The sequence below is a fragment of the Homo sapiens genome, chromosome 6 (genome assembly GCF_000001405.40).
Source record: "Homo sapiens chromosome 6, GRCh38.p14 Primary Assembly".
Lineage (NCBI taxonomy): Eukaryota > Metazoa > Chordata > Mammalia > Primates > Hominidae > Homo > Homo sapiens.
In genome coordinates, this window is record NC_000006.12 from 4,047,338 (window position 1) to 4,066,532 (window position 19,195).

A 19,195-nucleotide genomic window follows, 5' to 3' on the forward strand; every position below is an offset into this window, starting at 1 on the left:
ATGTAATAAATATTTTGAACAGTGTGGGTGAAAGGAATCTGAAAACTCTACTAGTTTTGCATCTTATAAGTCTAAAATTAATGTCAAAAATTTTAAGACAGGTATGGCAGAACAATTTGAGAGCTTTATAAAAGTCAAACACCAAATGATAAACATGTCATTTGTACAGTATTGTGTATTTAAATACATACACATACATGTGGTAGTTAGGTGCCATAAGGAGATAACAGTATTTTCTAGGTCTTTATTAGAATAGACTCCACTTTGGGGCCTCTATATTATATTAGTAGGTGATTGAGAACTTATTAATAGAATATTGAAGAATTGGAAATGTTATAAGGAGTAGATTAAGAAATTTTGGTGATTTCACCACTTTTTTCTTAAATTTTTATTGATGCCTTATGTTGGAAAAGTCTTAAACTATGAACGTGGTCAAACTTGGGGACATTTTCAATATAAATTTCAAAGGACATGAGAAATAAGAGGCCTTCATAAGAGGAGGTAGAGAAGATAAATGTAACAGGGAAAATAAAAATGTGGTAAGATAAATAGTCATGTATATGTACACACACACACACACACACACACACACACACACACACACACACAGAGCAATAGGAACACCAACCTATAAATGAATTAGGAGAGGATGAAATGAGTATTGACCCAGTTTTGGTGTCAGTACTCATTTGCTTGGTTGATATTGAAGAGTCTTCTGGGTATCTTGGAGAGTAAGGTGCAATAAAGAATCATCAGAAGGGCCTGGCACGGTGGCTCACGCCTGTAATCCCAGCACTTTGGGAGGCCGAGACGGGTGGATCACGAGGTCAGGAGATCGAGACCATCCTGGCTAATACGGTGAAACCCCATCTCTACTAAAAATACAAAAAAATAAGCCGGACGTGGTGGCGGGCGCCTGTAGTCCCAGCTACTCGGGAGGCTGAGGCAGGAGAATGGCATGAACCCGAGAGGCGGAGCTTGCAGTGAGCGGAGATCGCGCCACTGCACTCCAGCCTGGGCGACAAAGCAAGACTCCGTCTCAAAAAAAAAAAAAAAAAAAGAATAATCAGGAGTACCATATATTCTTATTTTTCAATTTTCCACGTAGTGTCAACTAGTGCAGCCAGTGACTTACTACATTTCATGCATGTATGGGAAGAATGGTATAACAAATGGTATAACAGCTATAGAAATTTGTATCTGGTTTTGAGTTATTTTCTTTTTTTTCTCTTTTGTTTTGAGATAGGGTCTCCCTCTGTCCTAGACTAAAGTGCAGAGTGCAGTAATTAGTGACATCATGGCTCACCGCAGCCTTGAATTCCTGAGCTCAAGCGATCTTCCTGCCTCAGCCTACCAAGGAGCTGGGGCTACAAACACATGCCACTACACCTGGCGCTTTTTTTTTGTTTTTTAATTTTTAGTAGAGAAGGGGTGTCACTGTGTTGCCCAGGCTGGGAGGGGTTTTTGTTTTTTTTTTTTAGTGTTATTTTGAATCAAGATACTTTGGTCTCATGTTTCAGCTATGTTGGATTTACATAAGTGATAGTAAGAATTTATTTAATTTGGAATAAAATGCTTTTATTAAATTATATCTGGTGTTACCCTTTTGTGTTTTAAAGGAAGTGCGTTAAATGTCTGACAAGTGGGTAAACTGTTCATGTTGCCTCTTTAATTTCAGAGTGCTCGTCTTCGGGCCGCTGGCATTGGAAAAGATTTCAAAGAGAATCCCAACCTCAGAGATAACTGGACCGATGCAGAAGGCTATTATCGTAAGTTCACATTTTATATTAACTTTAGAGTTCATTGTAACACCATGCAAAAGCATGCTGCTTGATGCAATCACAGATTATTGGAGAACTCTGAAAAATCACATCACAGTGCCATCTTTAAAAATTGTGGCACATCCAACAGCTGCATGAACTCGTGTGTATTCTAAAAGCAGCCCAGAAACATCACAAATGGAGTGAGGTAAAGTCTTGATGTACAACCTAAATATATTCAAAATTATTTTCAGCCATGAGATAGTCTTCCAGAAGGAAGGGGTACGTCACTTACTCGTCTTGATCTGAAACCAAGAAAAACGACAAACAGGAAACTTTGGATGCCAGTCATGCGGTATTTGTCATGCGGGACTACAATTGGAAAAACTTAATGTTAAAATCATCAGCAGTTGATAGGACAACAGGAACTCTTGTAGTGATCTGAAGTAGGCATGCAGCTTCTAACCACACTCTGATAGAGTGATCAGTGGAGGCATGGCTTTGATTCTTCATTGTGTCTAGGAAACCAAATAGTAGAGATTTAACACAATTTTTAAATGACTGCACTGTGTTTCCTACTTTCTGATTCTATTTATTATAGTCAGAATTCTAATTTTTCAATTTGCCTTTTTAGGTGTGAACATAGGTGAAGTCCTAGATAAACGTTACAATGTGTATGGCTACACTGGGCAAGGTGTATTCAGTAATGTTGTACGAGCCAGAGATAATGCAAGAGCCAACCAAGAAGTGGCTGTAAAGATCATCAGAAACAATGAGCTCATGTAAGTTCAGAAGACGTGAGGAAACCTTTAACAGTACGGATACTTACAGAAGAACATATTTTTAAACTATTTTTTTAAAGTGATACATGATAGAATGTGTAAAACAAGTATTGCAATTATAAAGTAATGGAAACAGTTGTTTTTTTTTTTTTTTTTTTTTTTTTTGAGACGGAGTCTCGCTCTGTCGCCCAGGCTGGAGTGCAGTGGCGCAATCTCGGCTCACTGCAAGCTCCGCCTCCCGGGTTCACGCCATTCTCCTGCCTCAGCCTCCCAAGTAGCTGGGACTACAGGCGCCCGCCACTACGCCCGGCTAATTTTTTGTATTTTTAATAGAGACGGGGTTTCACCGTTTTAGCCGGGATGGTCTCGATCTCCTGACCTCGTGATCCGCCCGCCTCGGCCTCCCACAGTGCTGGGATTACAGGCGTGAGCCACCGCGCCCGGCCAGGAAACAGTTGTTTTTGACTGGATTTTAAAATTATAGCCATATGTCATATGTACTGGAACAACAGGCTGATTATTTTTAATTCAGTGCATTTTAGTACCTACTGTATGCACCAATAACAACTTAAACTCCTTCCCTCTATTGTCTGTCTTATGCCGTCCTTTGCTTTATCTGAAGACGAGTTGAGAAATGAAAGGATCATGTTGATTAGCTGTCACTATGGTGACCTGCAAAAAAGTGAAAATTTATCAGAGTGATGAGAATCTGTCTTTTTTTAATTTGTTCCTGTTTTCCTCCAATAGAAAGTTAATTGCCATATCTGTGTGTTTTAATACCACACACTGAGCTGGTATTAAAATGAATTTAATGTGTTTGAAATGTTGGAAATAAGTGTTAAGTTTAGATTGCCCTAGGCTTAGAAAGGACCTTGTTTTGATGGGAAGCCCCAACTTCTGTATTTAGCTGCTTACTATAAAATGTAGCTTATTGACAAATTGTAACAAGAATTTCCTCAGATAACCAAGTGTTAAAATTTGATAAGGCATCCATTACTATGTTCTGTTTTTTTGTTGTTGTTTGTTTGTTTGTTTGTTTTGAGACAGGGTTTTGCTCTGTCACCCAGGCTGGAGTGCAGTGGCATGGTGGCATGATCTCGGCTCACTGTAACCTCTGCCTCCTGGGTTCAAGGGATTTTGCTTCCTCAGCCTCCCAAGTAGCTGGGATTACAGGCGCCCACCACCACGCCCAGCTAATTCTTGTATTTTCACTAGAGACAGGGTTTCGCCATGTTGGCCAGGCTGGTCTTGAACTCCTGACCTCAAGTGATCCACCTGCCTCGGCCTCCCAAAGTGCTGGGATCACAGGCATGAGCCACTGCACCTGGCCCATTACTGCATTCTTAAAGGAACCAAGACTAGTGTGCAGTGTGGTTCCATTTTGTTAAAAATAATGTCAAGATGTGGGTTTTGTTTTGTTTTTTTGTTTGTTTTTGTTTGTTTGTTTGTTTGAGATGGAGTTTTGCTCTTGTTGCCCAGGCTGGCGTGCGGTGGTGAGATCTCAGCTCAACTGCAAACCCTCCGTCTCCCGGGTTCAAGCCATTCTCCTGCCTCAGCCTCCCGAGTAGCTGGGACTACAGGCACCCGCCACCACCCTTGGCTAATTTTTGTATTTTTAGTAGAGACAGGGTTTCGCTATGTTGACCAGGCTGGTCTTGAACTCCTCACCTCAAGTGATCCACCCACTTCTGCCTCCCAAAATTCTGGGATTACAGGCATGAGCTACCGCGCCTGGCCTGTTTTGAGATAAAATATACAAGATTGATATTCCTTCAGGCAAAATCAAAATTTTTTAAAAATCAAAATAAGATGGGTTTGTTCCTCAATGTTTCTGTTTTGTGCAGTGATTATTTTGGAAATTAACTCTATGTATGATAATGATAGTTGACTAACTATAAAGTGTTATGTGAATGATATATAGAGACACCATTTCTCAGTAGATTTATTAGTACTTAAAAATATACAGACTTCTCCCACACATCACCTGATCGTCATACTGGGGCTAGCAAATACATTATTTAGTGCTCCTAAATTCTGTATATATTCAATTTTACCCCAATTTTTTTTTTTATTTTAGGCAAAAGACTGGTTTAAAAGAATTAGAGTTCTTGAAAAAACTTAATGATGCTGATCCTGATGACAAATTTCATTGTCTGAGACTCTTCAGGCACTTCTATCACAAGCAGCATCTTTGTCTGGTATTCGAGCCTCTCAGGTACAATGTCAAAACGTGTGCATTAAATTGCAAATTTAACTTCTTCATCTTTACGATCTCATTTTGGATAAATGCTGTAACAGATTTTCTGCGTATTTGATTTGTTTTATCCACACAGCTCTGGTTTTTGTTTTTAACTTGTGGTTAACAGCTAGTCTTTGTTGTTGTTGTTGTTGTTGTTGTTGAGACAGTCTCACTCTGTTGCTCCTCCCGGAGTACAGTGGTGCAGTCTTGGCTCGCTGCAACCTCCACCTCCCGGGTTCAACAGAGAGTCTCTCTTAAAATGAAATACTTCAAGGAAGGAATTTTTATCTTCAACAGTGTGGCTTTGTTGTGTTTTCAGATGTGAATCTATTCTAAAATCGAAATGGGAGTTTTACCTTGCATATCTTTCTTCTTACCTATTTAGAAAATTTGAATTTATTCAGAAACTGTGTTATATACATACAATTTGATATGCTCTCCTTTCAATATAAAATGATTTATCAAATGTGGGGGTGGTTCTTACATATTTTTATTTTGCGCTTGATTTTACTTTATGCTTGCAAATGTTTTTGCCTTTTTATATTTCCATTTTGCATTTTAACTCCTATTTTGTTTTCTTTTTTTAATTTTCTCCTAAAAGCATGAACTTACGAGAGGTGTTAAAAAAATATGGTAAAGATGTTGGTCTTCATATTAAAGCTGTAAGATCCTATAGTCAGCAGTTGTTCCTGGCATTGAAACTCCTTAAAAGATGCAATATCCTACATGCAGATATCAAGCCAGACAATATCCTGGTAAGTCAAACAGCCAAGCTGCGCTGTACATCTTGAACATACATTTCACTTCTTACTAGCAGTAATATTATTACTATGAGAAACGACATCTTAGAAGCATAGTTCAGTATATTAATAACCTATTTCAAATGACTAATACTTTTTTATCTTTCTTGGAAATCGGACAGTGAAATTTTATTGACAAGTATGAAGAAAAAGGAAATGTACAATTGTCCCTTTTTTTCTCTTTTGACTGATAGATTTAAAGTGTGCACCAATCCTGGAATGCTTTACTGTAGTAATGAGTTTCTTCTGTTATCTTTAGAAAAATGCTGCACATGTTGCTGTTTTGAAATAAGGAGTGTCCGTACTCTTCTGTTTGCTAATTTTATAGCTCCCTAAGCTGTGGCTCCTGGGGGCTCAAACACAATAAAGCTCAGTTGTGGTTAGGTATTATATTTAAAGGCATCGCTTTTGAAGTTTATTTTATTTTATTTTTAAACTTTCAAGTTCAGGGGTACATGTGCAGGCTTGTTACATAGGTAAACTTGTGTCATGGAGGGTTTGTACCCACTTTTCCTGATCCTCTCCCATCTCTCACCCTCCAGCCTCTGACGGACCCCAGTGTGTATTGTTCCCCTGTGTGTCCATGTGTTCTCACCTTTTGAAACCTTAATTCTCTTCGACTAGTGACTTCTGGTGGTAACAGCAGATTTCACAATGTATATGTTTTTAAAATTTTGAAATACATACATATTATCATAGTGATGTGATTAATGCACACACACACTCCTCCCCTCCCTGGCCCCATTACTTTACCCTGTTTTGTGGCCTTCAGTTTGGGTCGTGTTCGCAACTTGGAGAATTCCAGCTTATATGCTGGTAACATTCTGCATTTCATTTTTTTAAAATGGGTTCTCTTTATCAGTTCTCCTACAGTTGATGCCTAGGAGAGATCCTGAAGACTAAAAGCTAAGCGTGTAAGGTGTTCTTTATTGGGAACTCTTGGAGCTATAACAAAATAAATACTTTTGATTTTTTCTTTTGTTTTTTTTGTTTTGTTTTGTTTTGTTTTGAGGTAAGGTCTTGTTCTGTCACCCAGGCTAGAGTGCAGTGGTGCCATAATGGCTCACTGTAACCTCCAACTCCTAAGCCCAAGCAGTTCTCCTGCCTCCGCCTCCCCAGTAGCTGGGACTACCCACAGGCACATGCCACTGTGACTGCCTAATTAAAAAAAATTTTTTTTAGAGATGAGGTTTGGCTGGTCTCAAACTCCTGGGCTCAAGCAATCCTCCTGCTGCAGCCTCCCAAAGTGCTGGGATTATAGGTGTGAGCTACCATGCTTGGCCAAGATAAATTCTTTAAAAAATGGTGATCTCATTAAAGTTTAAGGAGTTTTTTTTTAATCAATAACTAAGCTATTTAATTCATATTTCTTTTTCTTTTTTGTTAATATCTTAAAATATTTCCTTTATTTCCTTCCAGACAACCACATTAGTAATGAGGTGTATTCCATTTTTATGTTTGGTCTGAATTATTATTGTATTGTATATCTAATGTAACTTGGAGTTAGGGGAGCTGAGTAATTTCATTGAAATGGTAGGTACATTAAAAATGAAGTATAAATTTGTGTGGCCAATTTCATAGTTGATTTTTACCTCAGTTTTTTTTATGAGACACAGCCTTGCCCTGTTACCAGGCTGGAGTGCAATGGCGTGATCTCGGCTCACTGCAACCTCCAACTCCCTGGTTCAAGCATTTCTCCTGCCTCAGCCTCCCGAGTAACTGGGATTACAGGCAGGGGCCACCACGCCCAGCTAATTTTTGTATTTTAGTAGAGACGGGGTTTCACCATGTTGGCCAGGATGGTCTTAATCTCCTAACCTCGTGATCTGCCCGCCTCGTCCTCCCAAAGTGCTGGGATTATAAGCGTGAGCCAATTTTTTGTTTTTTAATTGTGAAATACATGGTTCATGTCAAAGAATATGCAAAACATGTACAATTTAAAAGGTCATTTACAGTGAGCGTCTTTGTGACCATTGTGGAGGTTAAAGAATAACACATTTGCCAGTGTCACAGAAGAAACTCTTGTTTTTAAAACCTAATGCTAAACTAGTATAGGTTTTCACATACATTTAAGAAATGTTTTCCCGTCTTCCTGGGGAAGGAAAAAATAGACCTTAATGACGGAGCTGATTTTTGTTAATGAAAATCCAAAGCCTTTAGCTCGTAATTTCAGGTATCAGTGTGGTTTAAGTACCACATTCCTCATGACAGGAGCAGAAGTTGTGTAGCAAACTGAAGTGCATATGAGTATGGATACCCTGCTATTCTTTAAGGCATTTTAGCCAGCCCAAGAGTTCCACTGATGGATTCTAATTTTAAAATGGTTCTTAAGTTTTCTGTGGGTATTGAAACTGCTTAAGTAGCTGAATTCAGCTTACACTTTAAAAAGTTTTAAAATAACTTTTCTATTTTAAGATGCTTTTCTGATTCCCAAGATGAAAAGAATAGTAATCAATGTGGGAGTTAAAAATAATCATTTCTGTTCCTATTAATAGCTTAACTCTGGATATCATTTATAATAGTCCAGTCTCCCCATAGAGACTGCCTAAGGCTATAGTGTTATGCTGCTTTGGGGTGGGAGCAGTAGGCCAAGTTCAAGTCCCAACTCGGAATTTGTGTGTGTCTCTTTTGAAGGGGGGAAGGGACTCTGGAATATGAATTATCTTCACTTGTTAATCCTGAACATGCCTCTGACTCATGAGTGGCAGCAGTCATGGGAGCAACTCCAGCCTTTCTCAGCAGATGTCACTATTACTGTGTATGTTGAAGTATTTACAAAGGAAAAAAGAAACAAATGACTAATATAGAGTTCATGTTTATCAGTTTTGCCAGATATATTTAACATTTTCTTGACTAATACCTTCTTTATATTTGAGGGATTTAATATTTTTTAGACTTGAAGTGATTGCTAAATTTGGGATCATATAGCAGCTTCGGATGAAGAATATTTTGTTTTTGTCCAAGTTTATTCTGAATCACCCTTCTGCTTTCATTGCCATTGTAATTCTCTGGCAACTGAAAGTTAAGTCTGATTCCTTAGTTATAAAACTTGACTTTATTCAGGTATTCAGGGTCTTTTTAGAAGATGCTTTGCTTCATGAAATTAGATTTTTCTCTCAGTACCCCACCCTTTTAAAAATGCAGTTGTTAAAATTAAATGTACTTTGTGATATCCATTTCCTCACTGAAAACAGTTTTTACTCATTGTAATGAATATTTGATACATATTAACTTTTCATAGTTAGGAAATTGAATTAAAAATAAATAGAAAAGGAATTTTTAAATGAATGTCTTTGTTCTCAGTATTGGAATTAATAAAACTTTTCAAAGCCAATAATTTTTATTTATTTGTATTAATTATTCCTGGCTTGAATTAAATTCCCTTGAAAAAATGTTTTGCAGGTTAATGAATCCAAAACTATTTTAAAGCTTTGCGATTTTGGGTCGGCTTCACATGTTGCGGATAATGACATAACACCTTATCTTGTCAGTAGATTTTATCGTGCTCCTGAAATCAGTAAGTTTCTTAATGTTCTTTGACCTGGGCCATCATATGTGGTGGAAACCGCATACTTAATGTCTAAGCACTGTTTTCCATCACACTTCAGCAGCTGCACGAGTTCATTCATGAGGAAGGGAACCATAGCAAGTTCATCCTCCTCAGGTGGAATGAAGGTAGTTGTGACAGGAGTCTTGATCATGTCGGGCAAGAGTAGCAAAACAGTTGTGGAAAATCCTCGACTTTAGAAGACTGCTCTTGATTATTCAAGGTCTGATTATCACATTTATGGATTGTATGGGACCTTTGTTTTTTCCTGTTGCCTTGGTTGAGGCTGATTAGCACCTCCACCAAAGGCGAAATGAGAAAAGAGAAGAAATACATATTTTCTTTTGCCCTTTAAGTTCCTCCCCTACACCTCCATTTTTTAAGGTTTTTAAGTTTGAGTCTCTATTAAGAATTAGTGGGAAAGAACACAAAACTAATTGTCAAACTAAGGCATGAAGATTGTGGTTATAGTCCAAGCTAAGGTAGCCAGCCCCTCATTAATGGAAATAAAAATTAATAGTCGTCAGTTTTCTCTATCCTCGTATATTAAAACTTTGATTTTGTTTTCAGTTATAGGTAAAAGCTATGACTATGGTATAGATATGTGGTCTGTAGGTTGCACCTTATACGAACTCTATACTGGAAAAATTTTATTCCCTGGCAAAACCAATAACCATATGCTGAAGCTTGCAATGGATCTCAAAGGAAAGATGCCAAATAAGGTAAGACATTAGCATGAGCTTCTTTAAGGTCTTAGTTTCTTATTAACTGACAAGACTGCTGACACTTGCTCACCACTAGTGAGCTATAAAACAAAAATTTCAGAAAGGTGGGTAGATGGCTATCATGATTTCTTAGGGTCTTTCCCTTTTCTGGTGTTTTAAATTAGTGGTTCTAATCAGCCAAGCGCTAAGGATAAGAGAACTTGTTCAATGATGGACAGAGAGCAGCAATATTTTGGGGATACACCCTTATGGGTAAAAGTTTCAAAATGTTTGGAAGACAGAATGGAAAAAGATGTAAGTTGAATTAGGTAAAATACAAGAACATGCTTAGTGGTCAGAGAATGAATAGGTGAATATTAGATATTGTAAGAGGAACTTGATGTTAATTAATTTATTAAAGATTGGAGGTTATTTGAGAAAGTAAGGTACCTTTCTTGGTACCTTTTCTTATTTAATATCTTTCTAACTCACCGCTGATACTTCAGCTATAATGCTAGTTTCTGTTTAACATGAAGCAAGAATGTAAGCATTTATTAAAGTATCTGAGGGCCATAACTTAGCTTTTTTTTTTTTTTTTTTTTTGAGACGGAGTCTTGCTTTGTCGCCCAGGCTGCAGTGCAGTGGCGCGATCTCAGCTTACTGCAAGCTCTGCCTCCCGGGTTCATGCCATTCTCCTGCCTCAGCCTCCCGAGTAGCTATAGGCATGAGCCACCGCACCCGGCTGTAACTTAGCTTTTTAAGATTTCAGCCTATTTGCTGAATTTCTAAAGATTTACACATTTTTCGTAAAGGTCAGAAAACTGTATGGTTTTCAGTTGTGTTTTGTTGTTGTTGTTGTTTTGAGACTGGATCTTGCTCTGTGTCCCAGACTGGAGTACAGTTATAGCTCACTGCAGCCTTGAACCGAACCCCTGGGCTCAAGCAGTTCTCCTGCCTCAGTCTCCAATGTAGCTGGGACTACAGGCATGTGCCACCACAACCAGTTAATTTATTTAATAATTTTTTTGTAGAGATGGAGTTTCACTATGTTGACCAGGCTGATTTGTACATATTGTCCAAATTCTATTAGGTTGGACTTTTTTTAGAATAAGTTACATAAAAATGAGCTATGTTGGTATTAGTTTTAATGAAGTCTGACCTGTATCAGGGCTGTTGGAACATAATTAGTAAAGTGGCATTAGGTTCCCTAACTGCCAAGGAGAAAAAACCTGAGTTTTGTGATATTTTTAGGAAGAAATAATTTAAAGTCTTTGTTGACTCTCCAATTTTAAATAGTGAAAGGACAATTTGATGTTATAATTGTTTTAAGTCACTGCCTGGACAAATATAATTTCATGTTATTAAGTAGTTTTAGGTACAGCATTGGTATTTGCTTTTGCAAAGATGTTAATGAATTCCTGGGATCAAGGGAATCTGAGATCAAACAAACCTACAGAGACTAAATAACATACTTATTTGACTTATTGTATATTAATTAAATTGTTAGTAGGCCTGTTTCATAATAGTTCAAAACCCAAGTTTTTGTTTTGTTTTGTAGATGATTCGAAAAGGTGTGTTCAAAGATCAGCATTTTGATCAAAATCTCAACTTCATGTACATAGAAGTTGATAAAGTAACAGAGAGGGTAAGTGTTTTAAATGCAGCATGCAATAGTTATTTTATTGTTAACTGAGTACTAAATCATACGAGCTGGTGAATTAAAAAAAAAACAAAAACCCAAAAGTAAGTATTTCCTTTTTGCTGTCGACCAATTCCTAAATAAAACACATCAGACCATGGAAAAGATGGAGGGATTTTAAAATGTTTTTCTAGCATAATTAATTTATTTTTATTATAGGTCATATTTAGGCCCTCGTCACATCTTCTTTGGATTACTTTCTTGGTCTGGCTTCCCATCCAGCTTTCTTATTGCTGCTAGAGTGATGTTTCTGAAAACATATCTGGTCATGTTCCTATCCCTGCTTAAAAACCTTTGTTGGCTCCCTGTTACCTATGAAATAATATTTAAGTTCCTCAGAATGACAAATCCAACTGCTTTCTTCAGTTTTCAGACCTCTCTTCAGTACATTCAGAACCCCCACCTTTCCACATTTGGCCAGAAGGCGTGCTGGTTCAGACCTTTGTGCCTTTGCTAACAGACCTCCCTGAGCTTAGTCATTTCCTGTGCTGCCTCACCCCCAACCCCCTAAAAAATGTATCATCTTCAAGCCTCAGCTGAAATACACATTCTGTATGAGCCTTTTGAAAACTCCCAGATTGAAGTAATGATTTCCTTATTTTTGTCCCATTATTATAGCATATGTCCCTGTCTTTGTCAGAGCACTTAATAATACTTCAGGGTATTAACTTATTCACATGTCTGTCACTTACCACTTCAAGGTAGGGAAAGTACAGTGCAAACAGCTCATGCTTATCTTATTGTAAATTTTCATTGCTAACTTGGAGTTGACTTTTTTTTTCTTTTTTGAGACTGAGTCTCGCTCTGTCACCTGTCACCCAGGGTGAAGTGCAATGGCACGATCTTGGCTCACAGCAACCTCTGCCTCCCAGGTTCAAGCAATTCTCATGCCTCAGCCTCCCGAGTAGCTGGGATTACAATTGTGTGCCACCACGCCTGGATAATTTTTGTATTTTTAGTAGAGATGGGTTTTGCAGTGTTGCCCAGGCTGGTCTCGAATTCCTGAGCTCAAGTGATCCACCTACCTTGGGCTTCCAAAGTGCTGGGATTACAGGTGTGAGCCACCGCGCCCAGCCCAGAGTTGGCATCAACTTTTTCATTTAAGTTTTTTGGTTACCTTTTAAAAAGATGTACAGCATAGAGGAAACCACAGCAAAGTTTTAAATGAATAGATGATGATGATACAGTCATGCGTCACATAACCACAGCATACACTCACACACATCTAGGGTAAGTAGTATGGCCTTTTGCTTCTAGGCCTGAACTGTAAGTTGGTGGACTGAATACTGTAGGCACTTTTGCAAGTGGTAAGTGTATGTATGTATCTAAACATAGAAAAGGGAGAGCAAAAATACGGTATTCCAATCTTAAGGGACCACTGTCATATATGCAGTCTGTCATTGCCCAAAATGTGCACTGTGTGTATATATTTTGTATGTATATGCATGTTTTTAATATTTTTGATAGACCCCAAAACAATCTGATTTAAGTTGTATATGCTTAGTAACTTATTTAGAGATACGCATTTTAAAAATTATTTTTAGGAGAAAGTTACTGTTATGAGCACCATTAATCCAACTAAGGACCTGTTGGCTGACTTGATTGGGTGCCAGAGACTTCCTGAAGACCAACGTAAGAAAGTACACCAGCTAAAGGACTTGTTGGACCAGATTCTGATGTTGGACCCAGCTAAACGAATTAGCATCAACCAGGCCCTACAGCACGCCTTCATCCAGGAAAAAATTTAAACAAGATGAAGAAACTCCAAGGGTTTGAGTAAATACAAAGACTGAAGAAATTTCACAGCAGTTTATTAATGTATATAAACTTATAAATATTTCTCCAGCAAATTTGAGGAAGCATGATATATTTGAATTAACACCAAGGGTGATATTTCTTTTAGAGATGTTAGTTAATCTGTTTTGTGTCTTACGTGAAATTTCACTGTAGACTGTTTTAAATTGCCAAGACTGCACAAAATTACAGTGCTAATGTATATGGTTGCAGTTCACATAAAGACAAAAGCATCTGTTATGAAATGAGTAGTAATATTGGGTGGTTGATTTGTTCTTAGCAGACTTGGCTTCATTTTGGTCTTGAGATAAAATGGCCAGCATAAATGCTGTTTATATTCACGTTTTCCTAGGTGTGTGTGTGCAGGCCACAGCAGCATGCCCTTGGTGTAGTCAGTGCCGAAAGGGGTCTGTTCCTTCTTGAGCCTGCCTGCAGGGATGGTCTCCTTTTAAAGCAGGTTGTGTGCAGCATTCAGTACACTGAAGGTAAGCTAAACCATCAACATCTCTGGTGTTTTAAGATGTTATTTTATTGGAACAACTGACAAATGAGGGATGTTAGCTTTGTGGCAGAATTCCCTGCATGTGTGATAACTGATCTTGTTTTATTTTTTGGCATTGCAACTGTGGCATAGTTACAATTTCTGTTTGTTCATCACATTTAAAATTGGAAGAGAACGCGCTTGATGGATAGAGCGCCTTCAGTGTACTGTTTCTTATTAACTTTACTTTTTTTAAATCAACTTGCTATAGACTTTATATACATTTTGTTAAATATAGTTCCTAGTGACATAGAAACGATGCGTAGTTTTCATTTACTAATTACAAATGTTGAGGCCTAATTCTGAAAGTCCTCATATTTAAAGGCTAGACAACGTAATGAAATTTTTAACTATTTGTATGTCATTTTGAAAGTGTACTGCTTTATGGTAAAAGTGTTTTTCATTTGTTCATTGTTTTCATTATTTGTGATCATGTTGTCTTTCAATACAGGCATAAACCTTCCACTCTTGAACAAAGCAGCTGCTTTTTAAAAGCGGTAATTGCTTCTTTACCTTTTATTTCTTTTGTAAATGAAGCTTTTCTTTAAGAATGTGACTTTAAAGTGTTGTCTATTGCATAAAACAGTTGACACTCACTTATTGTAAAGTGAAGATTGTTCTACTGCATGTGAAGTGGACCATGCAGATTTCTGTATGTTCTCAGTATGCATCACTAGATAATAAAGTCTTTTGTGAACAAGGCATTTGTAGCCATTTTTAAAAGTTTTTGTCTTCAGTGCTGGTAAGTCAGGTAAACCATAAATAGTTAAAAGCAACCTTTTGTTTTTTTCCTGAAAGTTTTTAATTGAAAGTATTATTAGTTAAAGATGTAAACCTAGCCAAAATTACCAGTTTATTAATAATTAGGATCCTAATTATTTCAAAAAATCCTACAAATATTGTCAGCTTTCAGTGTAGTGAGATTATTCCTGTAGGTTATGGGGTATAATTCAGGATTTAACTAATGTTTCTGCTATTTTCTCACTTTTCCTTTTGATGGTGCGGAAAGAGAAAAAGGAAAACGGGGCACAGGCCATTCGACGCCTTCTCCAAGGGGTCTGATTTGCTGAGACACCAGCTTCACCTTCTTAACAAGGTTATTTCTGACAGCATGTGTAGATAAACATTTAGCAACAATTTAAGACAAAATCGTTTAAATCAGCTTGGTTTTGCAACACAAAGGAATTTGTATTATTAACATGGTAGAAGAGAATTTTTCAGAAATATATGTAATCTTTGCTGTTTGGGGGGTAAAATTAATGCTTGTCTCCCTGAGGAATATGGAAAATAATCAGATTTTAGGGGTTTAAATAATATTTTTAAATTGTAAATGGGATTTTTTTATTCACCCAGGCACCTAATTACAACAAGCATGCACATTTTGGTGCATTCAAGAATGGAAAATCAGAATAGCAGCATTGATTCTTCTGGTGGGTTTTGCTCCATTTAAAGACATGAAATGAACTACAGCCAGGAAGGTGATAGATGATATAATAAGCCACCTCTGAACCTACACCCCGTCTCTTCACGGTTTAGACTTACTAAAATAAATACAAGGTGATTTTCATCTTCAGGTAGAGTGAAGCCTTTTAATTAAGGCGTCACAGGTGCAGCTATTCTACCTTAATGAAATGGGTAGTGATTTTCCCACCATTATTTATTTCGGTGATAATATGCTGCATATTCAAGTCTCTTGTAGTTATTTTCACCCAAAGTAGTTGACAATTTGATGCTTCTGGTGATGTTTATGGCTTCATTTTATGTAATTTTTTAAGTAAGTTCCACTAGAAACAGTTCATCTTATACCTTCAAAACTGTTACCTGTTCTTTAAAAAACAAAGTTGCTTGTTACTTGTTCTTTGTGTTTTAGGTGCAGCTCAGTGGAAGATGATGACAACCAGAAGACATGAGCTAAGGTTTCTGTCCTATAAAAGATTTATTAAAAAACAATCCTTCATTTATTTTTTGTCTAATTTTTTAGTTTTCAGCATTATGATTTGGGTTTTATTGGTGTTTGGTATTTAGAATTAGTGCTGTTGTGGAGTGCGTCTGTAAAGTGCTTGTTTTATCATACTTCCTGCCTCTCCCCTCCCCCAGTTTCTCCTCCCCTAAAATAAAAATAGTGGTCAACTTTAGTAATATAAAAGGCTGCTGGATGCTGAGATTCCACATAACACATGGTTGTCAAAATTGGATGTTAAGGATTCTTAGAAAAACAGCAACCACCAGAATAGCATATATCTGAAAGTAGTCTTCAGCTTTAGGCAGATGCAAAAGAATACAAACTGGAATATTAAGAATACTGTTCAACTCCTTTAGTATCTGTTCCCCAACTTACCCTGTAGAAACCTCGTTATTAACCAGTGTTCCAGTCTTAAAGTAGACAAAATATTCAGAGCCATTTTTTTTAAGGGAAATGAAAAAGATACTCTGGGTTTTTTATACTCCCCAATTTAGCATATCTAGACTACCTATTTGAAAGGAACCCTATCAACTGTCTTATGTACGTTACATGATTTTCCTACACTCTGTAATTTTGCTGAGGTGCAATTTGGAACTCTGCAAGACCTACTAGATTGAATTTATTTAGTGAATGCTCCTGAATAAATGTGCATTCCTCTTTTAGAGTAGCTGTATGCTTTTCAAATGCTATCTGCCGTGAATTTTTTGCTTTTATTATACTTTATGGCAAAAGTGATATCAAGTGATTGTCAGACTTGAGGGCTCATAGAAGTGTTAGGTACGGCTCTCAAAGATGTTACAGTTTTTTCTAGGGTTGGGAGAATAGTTGAGATCTGGAAAGCATAGACATTTTTTACACTCTGGATAGACTTTATTCTTGAAGATCATCAGAAATGAGGTTGGAATTTCGAGGTTTTGAGCAGGGGGAGCATCTTATATTCACCCTTAAATCGTTATTAATACATCCTGTTTTCTTCATTCCCTGATAGCTATCTCATTTCACTCTACTGTCTCAAAATTTTGTTTTAAAATAATAGAAATGTTTTGCCATTATTAAGTACCACTTTATTCCTAACAAAAATAAGTACTCAGGACTTTTTTTTCAAAATGAAATATTTATGTACTGTTTTATGGTATGTGGTAGAGTAAGTAAAATGTAATGTTCTCAGTTTTGTTCCATATTTGCATTCCTCTTATGCTTTACCTGTATTTTATCATTTGTAAGCAGAACTCTAGCTATATGGGGTAGAAATAAAATCTCTGAGATGAAACAAAGGAATCAACATGATAAAATTTAGGCGAAGTAGTTAAGAAATGGCCCTTTTGAATGTTGAAGATAGGAAAGAAAGCCATATATTCAAATATGTAATTTTCCTCATTTAGTTATAATGACATCTTTACCAATTGGGCTTCATAAATGTGTTTCTTTCTTAATAGTATCCTAGTTCCAGCATATATTCAACATGAATTTTATCATTCTCCTCCTAATGGAATGTCTTCCTTATAGAAATGTTCACGACAAATTCATTTGTGTTTTTTACATGTCAATAATGTATGCTAAATTAAAATGTTTTCCAGTTATTCTGATAGATGTCATTATGGCATCCTTAATTTTTCTTCTCCTTCTGTATATAGGGTAAGGGACTGTTCTGAAGAACCTTTCCATTTAGTGATCAAGATATGGAAGCTGATTTCTGAAAATGCTCAGTGTGTACTCTAATTATTTATGGTACCATTTGAATTGTAACTTGCATTTTAGCAGTGCATGTTTCTAATTGACTTACTGGGAAACTGAATAAAATATGCCTCTTATTATCATATTGTCTCCTGGTTTTTTTCTTTGGTTGAGTTCAGATTTTCCTCACAAACATCAAAACATTTTCAAAGCATTAGGTGCACAACACCAAAGAGTGTATTATATTCGTGTTCCTGTTACATACATTTCTGCTTTGGTTTTCCTAGTAAAGGAAACAGATAAGTAATGAGCCAACTCCTGTTTTTATAATGATAAAAATAAATTGGTTCATTGCTCACATGATAGCTTGACAAATCTTGGGCTCTTATCCTCAGTATACCCACTCTTTATTTTCTTCTTTTAAGGAACTGTTTTTGGCTTTTCAAAACAGTGAGTAAAATAGATTCACAGTGTAGTTTGTGAATCTTAGTGCATGCAAAGCAGATAAGGCAGGCAGAATGGCCTTGTAGAATGCACCCACCCACCCCATTGGAGCTAACCACCGCAGAGTGGCAGGTAGAAGCTAGTATGCTTGATTCTGGGCTGAGAAATGGTCAAATGGCACTGGCTCTGGATAGTCTTCATGTAAAGGCCCCAGTTATAATTTTGTTAGACTGCATAACTATCTAAAGTGGCTATGAGGTTATTGTATCTGGTACATTTTAGGGAAAATAGTATGCAGGATGTATTGGTTAAGGACCTTTCACACATACTTTTTTTCTTTCTTTTTTTCTTTTTTTTGAGACGGACTCGCCGTCTATCGCCAGGCTGGAGTGCAGTGGCACGATCACAGCTCGCCTCCGCCTCCTGACCTCAGGTGATCCACACGCCTGAGCCTCCCAAAGTGCTGGGATTACAGGCATGAGCCACCACACCCGGCCACACATACTTTCTCTAATTAGAAAGATTCAACCTCATGAAGATCCAGTGAGCTGAGGACCATCAATGACTGGAGAGCTAAACATGGGTATTTATCAGCAAACTAGGTTTTCCCGAACAGAATTTATATGTGTGTTATAAACTGCCAAATGTTTTCTTATTTAAAGATAATGGTGGGCGTTGACTTCCACCAAGTATGAAAAATAGCCAAATATTTTGTATTCATGTCTCCAGTTTTGTCCACTACATATGTAGACAAGTGGGTCCCACTTCACCTGTTTGAACCAGGTCTTTTTCCCCTGTCAGTCTACAGGATAAATTTGAGATGATACATCTCTAATCCCTACAAAACTTGCCACTTCTGGTCTCAGTCCCATCTCCCATGCCCATTCCCACGCCTAGTCTTACTGAAAGGGTTTGTGTCTGTTGCACCGTACCATTTCCCTGTGCCTTGGCACATGCCCTGCAAGAAACAGGACATTGTTAGGAATTATTGTTCTGCACCTAACTAGTGCTAAGGAGGTCCATTCTCGAGATGGTTTGCCCTCCTGTGTCATTCTTACTTCCCTAATGTATTTTGTGAATACTTGTATATGCCAGGCACTTTTGCTGCTGGTCATTTAACCCGCACATGATTATATGAGATAAAGACAGTCTACCCACTTTACCCATCAGAAAAGTGAAGCAAGAGAGGTTAAGGAAACTGCTAAAGGTGTTAGGTGTTCAGTGGCAGGAGTCTGGGTTCGAATTTAG

At 37.3% G+C, this 19,195-nt stretch overlaps 1 protein-coding gene across 35 annotated transcripts in view, besides 1 other annotated feature; it reads left to right on the plus strand.

Moving 5' to 3' along the window:
* PRP4K (pre-mRNA processing factor kinase PRP4K) overlaps positions 1-17,646 on the plus strand; it is a 43,684-nt gene extending 26,038 nt beyond the window's left edge. The window contains exons 8-21 of one of the 35 annotated variants that reach the window (NR_146785.2): positions 1,679-1,769; positions 2,395-2,542; positions 4,620-4,757; positions 5,383-5,536; positions 8,984-9,098; positions 9,699-9,850; positions 11,391-11,477; positions 13,076-13,349; positions 13,678-13,810; positions 14,318-14,363; positions 14,876-14,962; positions 15,220-15,296; positions 15,737-15,782; positions 17,464-17,646. Coding sequence is in view for 2 of the 35 variants with exons in the window: in NM_003913.5 (NP_003904.3) it covers positions 1,679-1,769; positions 2,395-2,542; positions 4,620-4,757; positions 5,383-5,536; positions 8,984-9,098; positions 9,699-9,850; positions 11,391-11,477; positions 13,076-13,279 (1,089 nt within the window). In the remaining 33 variants the exon portion in view is untranslated. Of the gene's footprint in view, positions 1-1,678; positions 1,770-2,394; positions 2,543-4,619; positions 4,758-5,382; positions 5,537-8,215; positions 8,916-8,983; positions 9,099-9,189; positions 9,352-9,698; positions 9,851-11,390; positions 11,478-13,075 lie in introns of those variants that run through there. The other 34 variants (XR_007059360.1, XR_007059368.1, XR_007059371.1 and 31 more) reach the window with 34 other exon arrangements.
* Positions 11,858-12,152: an enhancer, noted in NCBI's record as "tiled region #2502; HepG2 Activating DNase matched - State 5:Enh, and K562 Activating DNase unmatched - State 25:Art". NCBI's record gives its function as "activates a minimal TATA promoter and a strong SV40 promoter by Sharpr-MPRA in HepG2 and K562 cells {active_cell/tissue: HepG2 | K562}" and the evidence as "EXISTENCE:reporter gene assay evidence [ECO:0000049][PMID:27701403]".
* Positions 17,647-19,195: the final 1,549 nt, after the last annotated feature.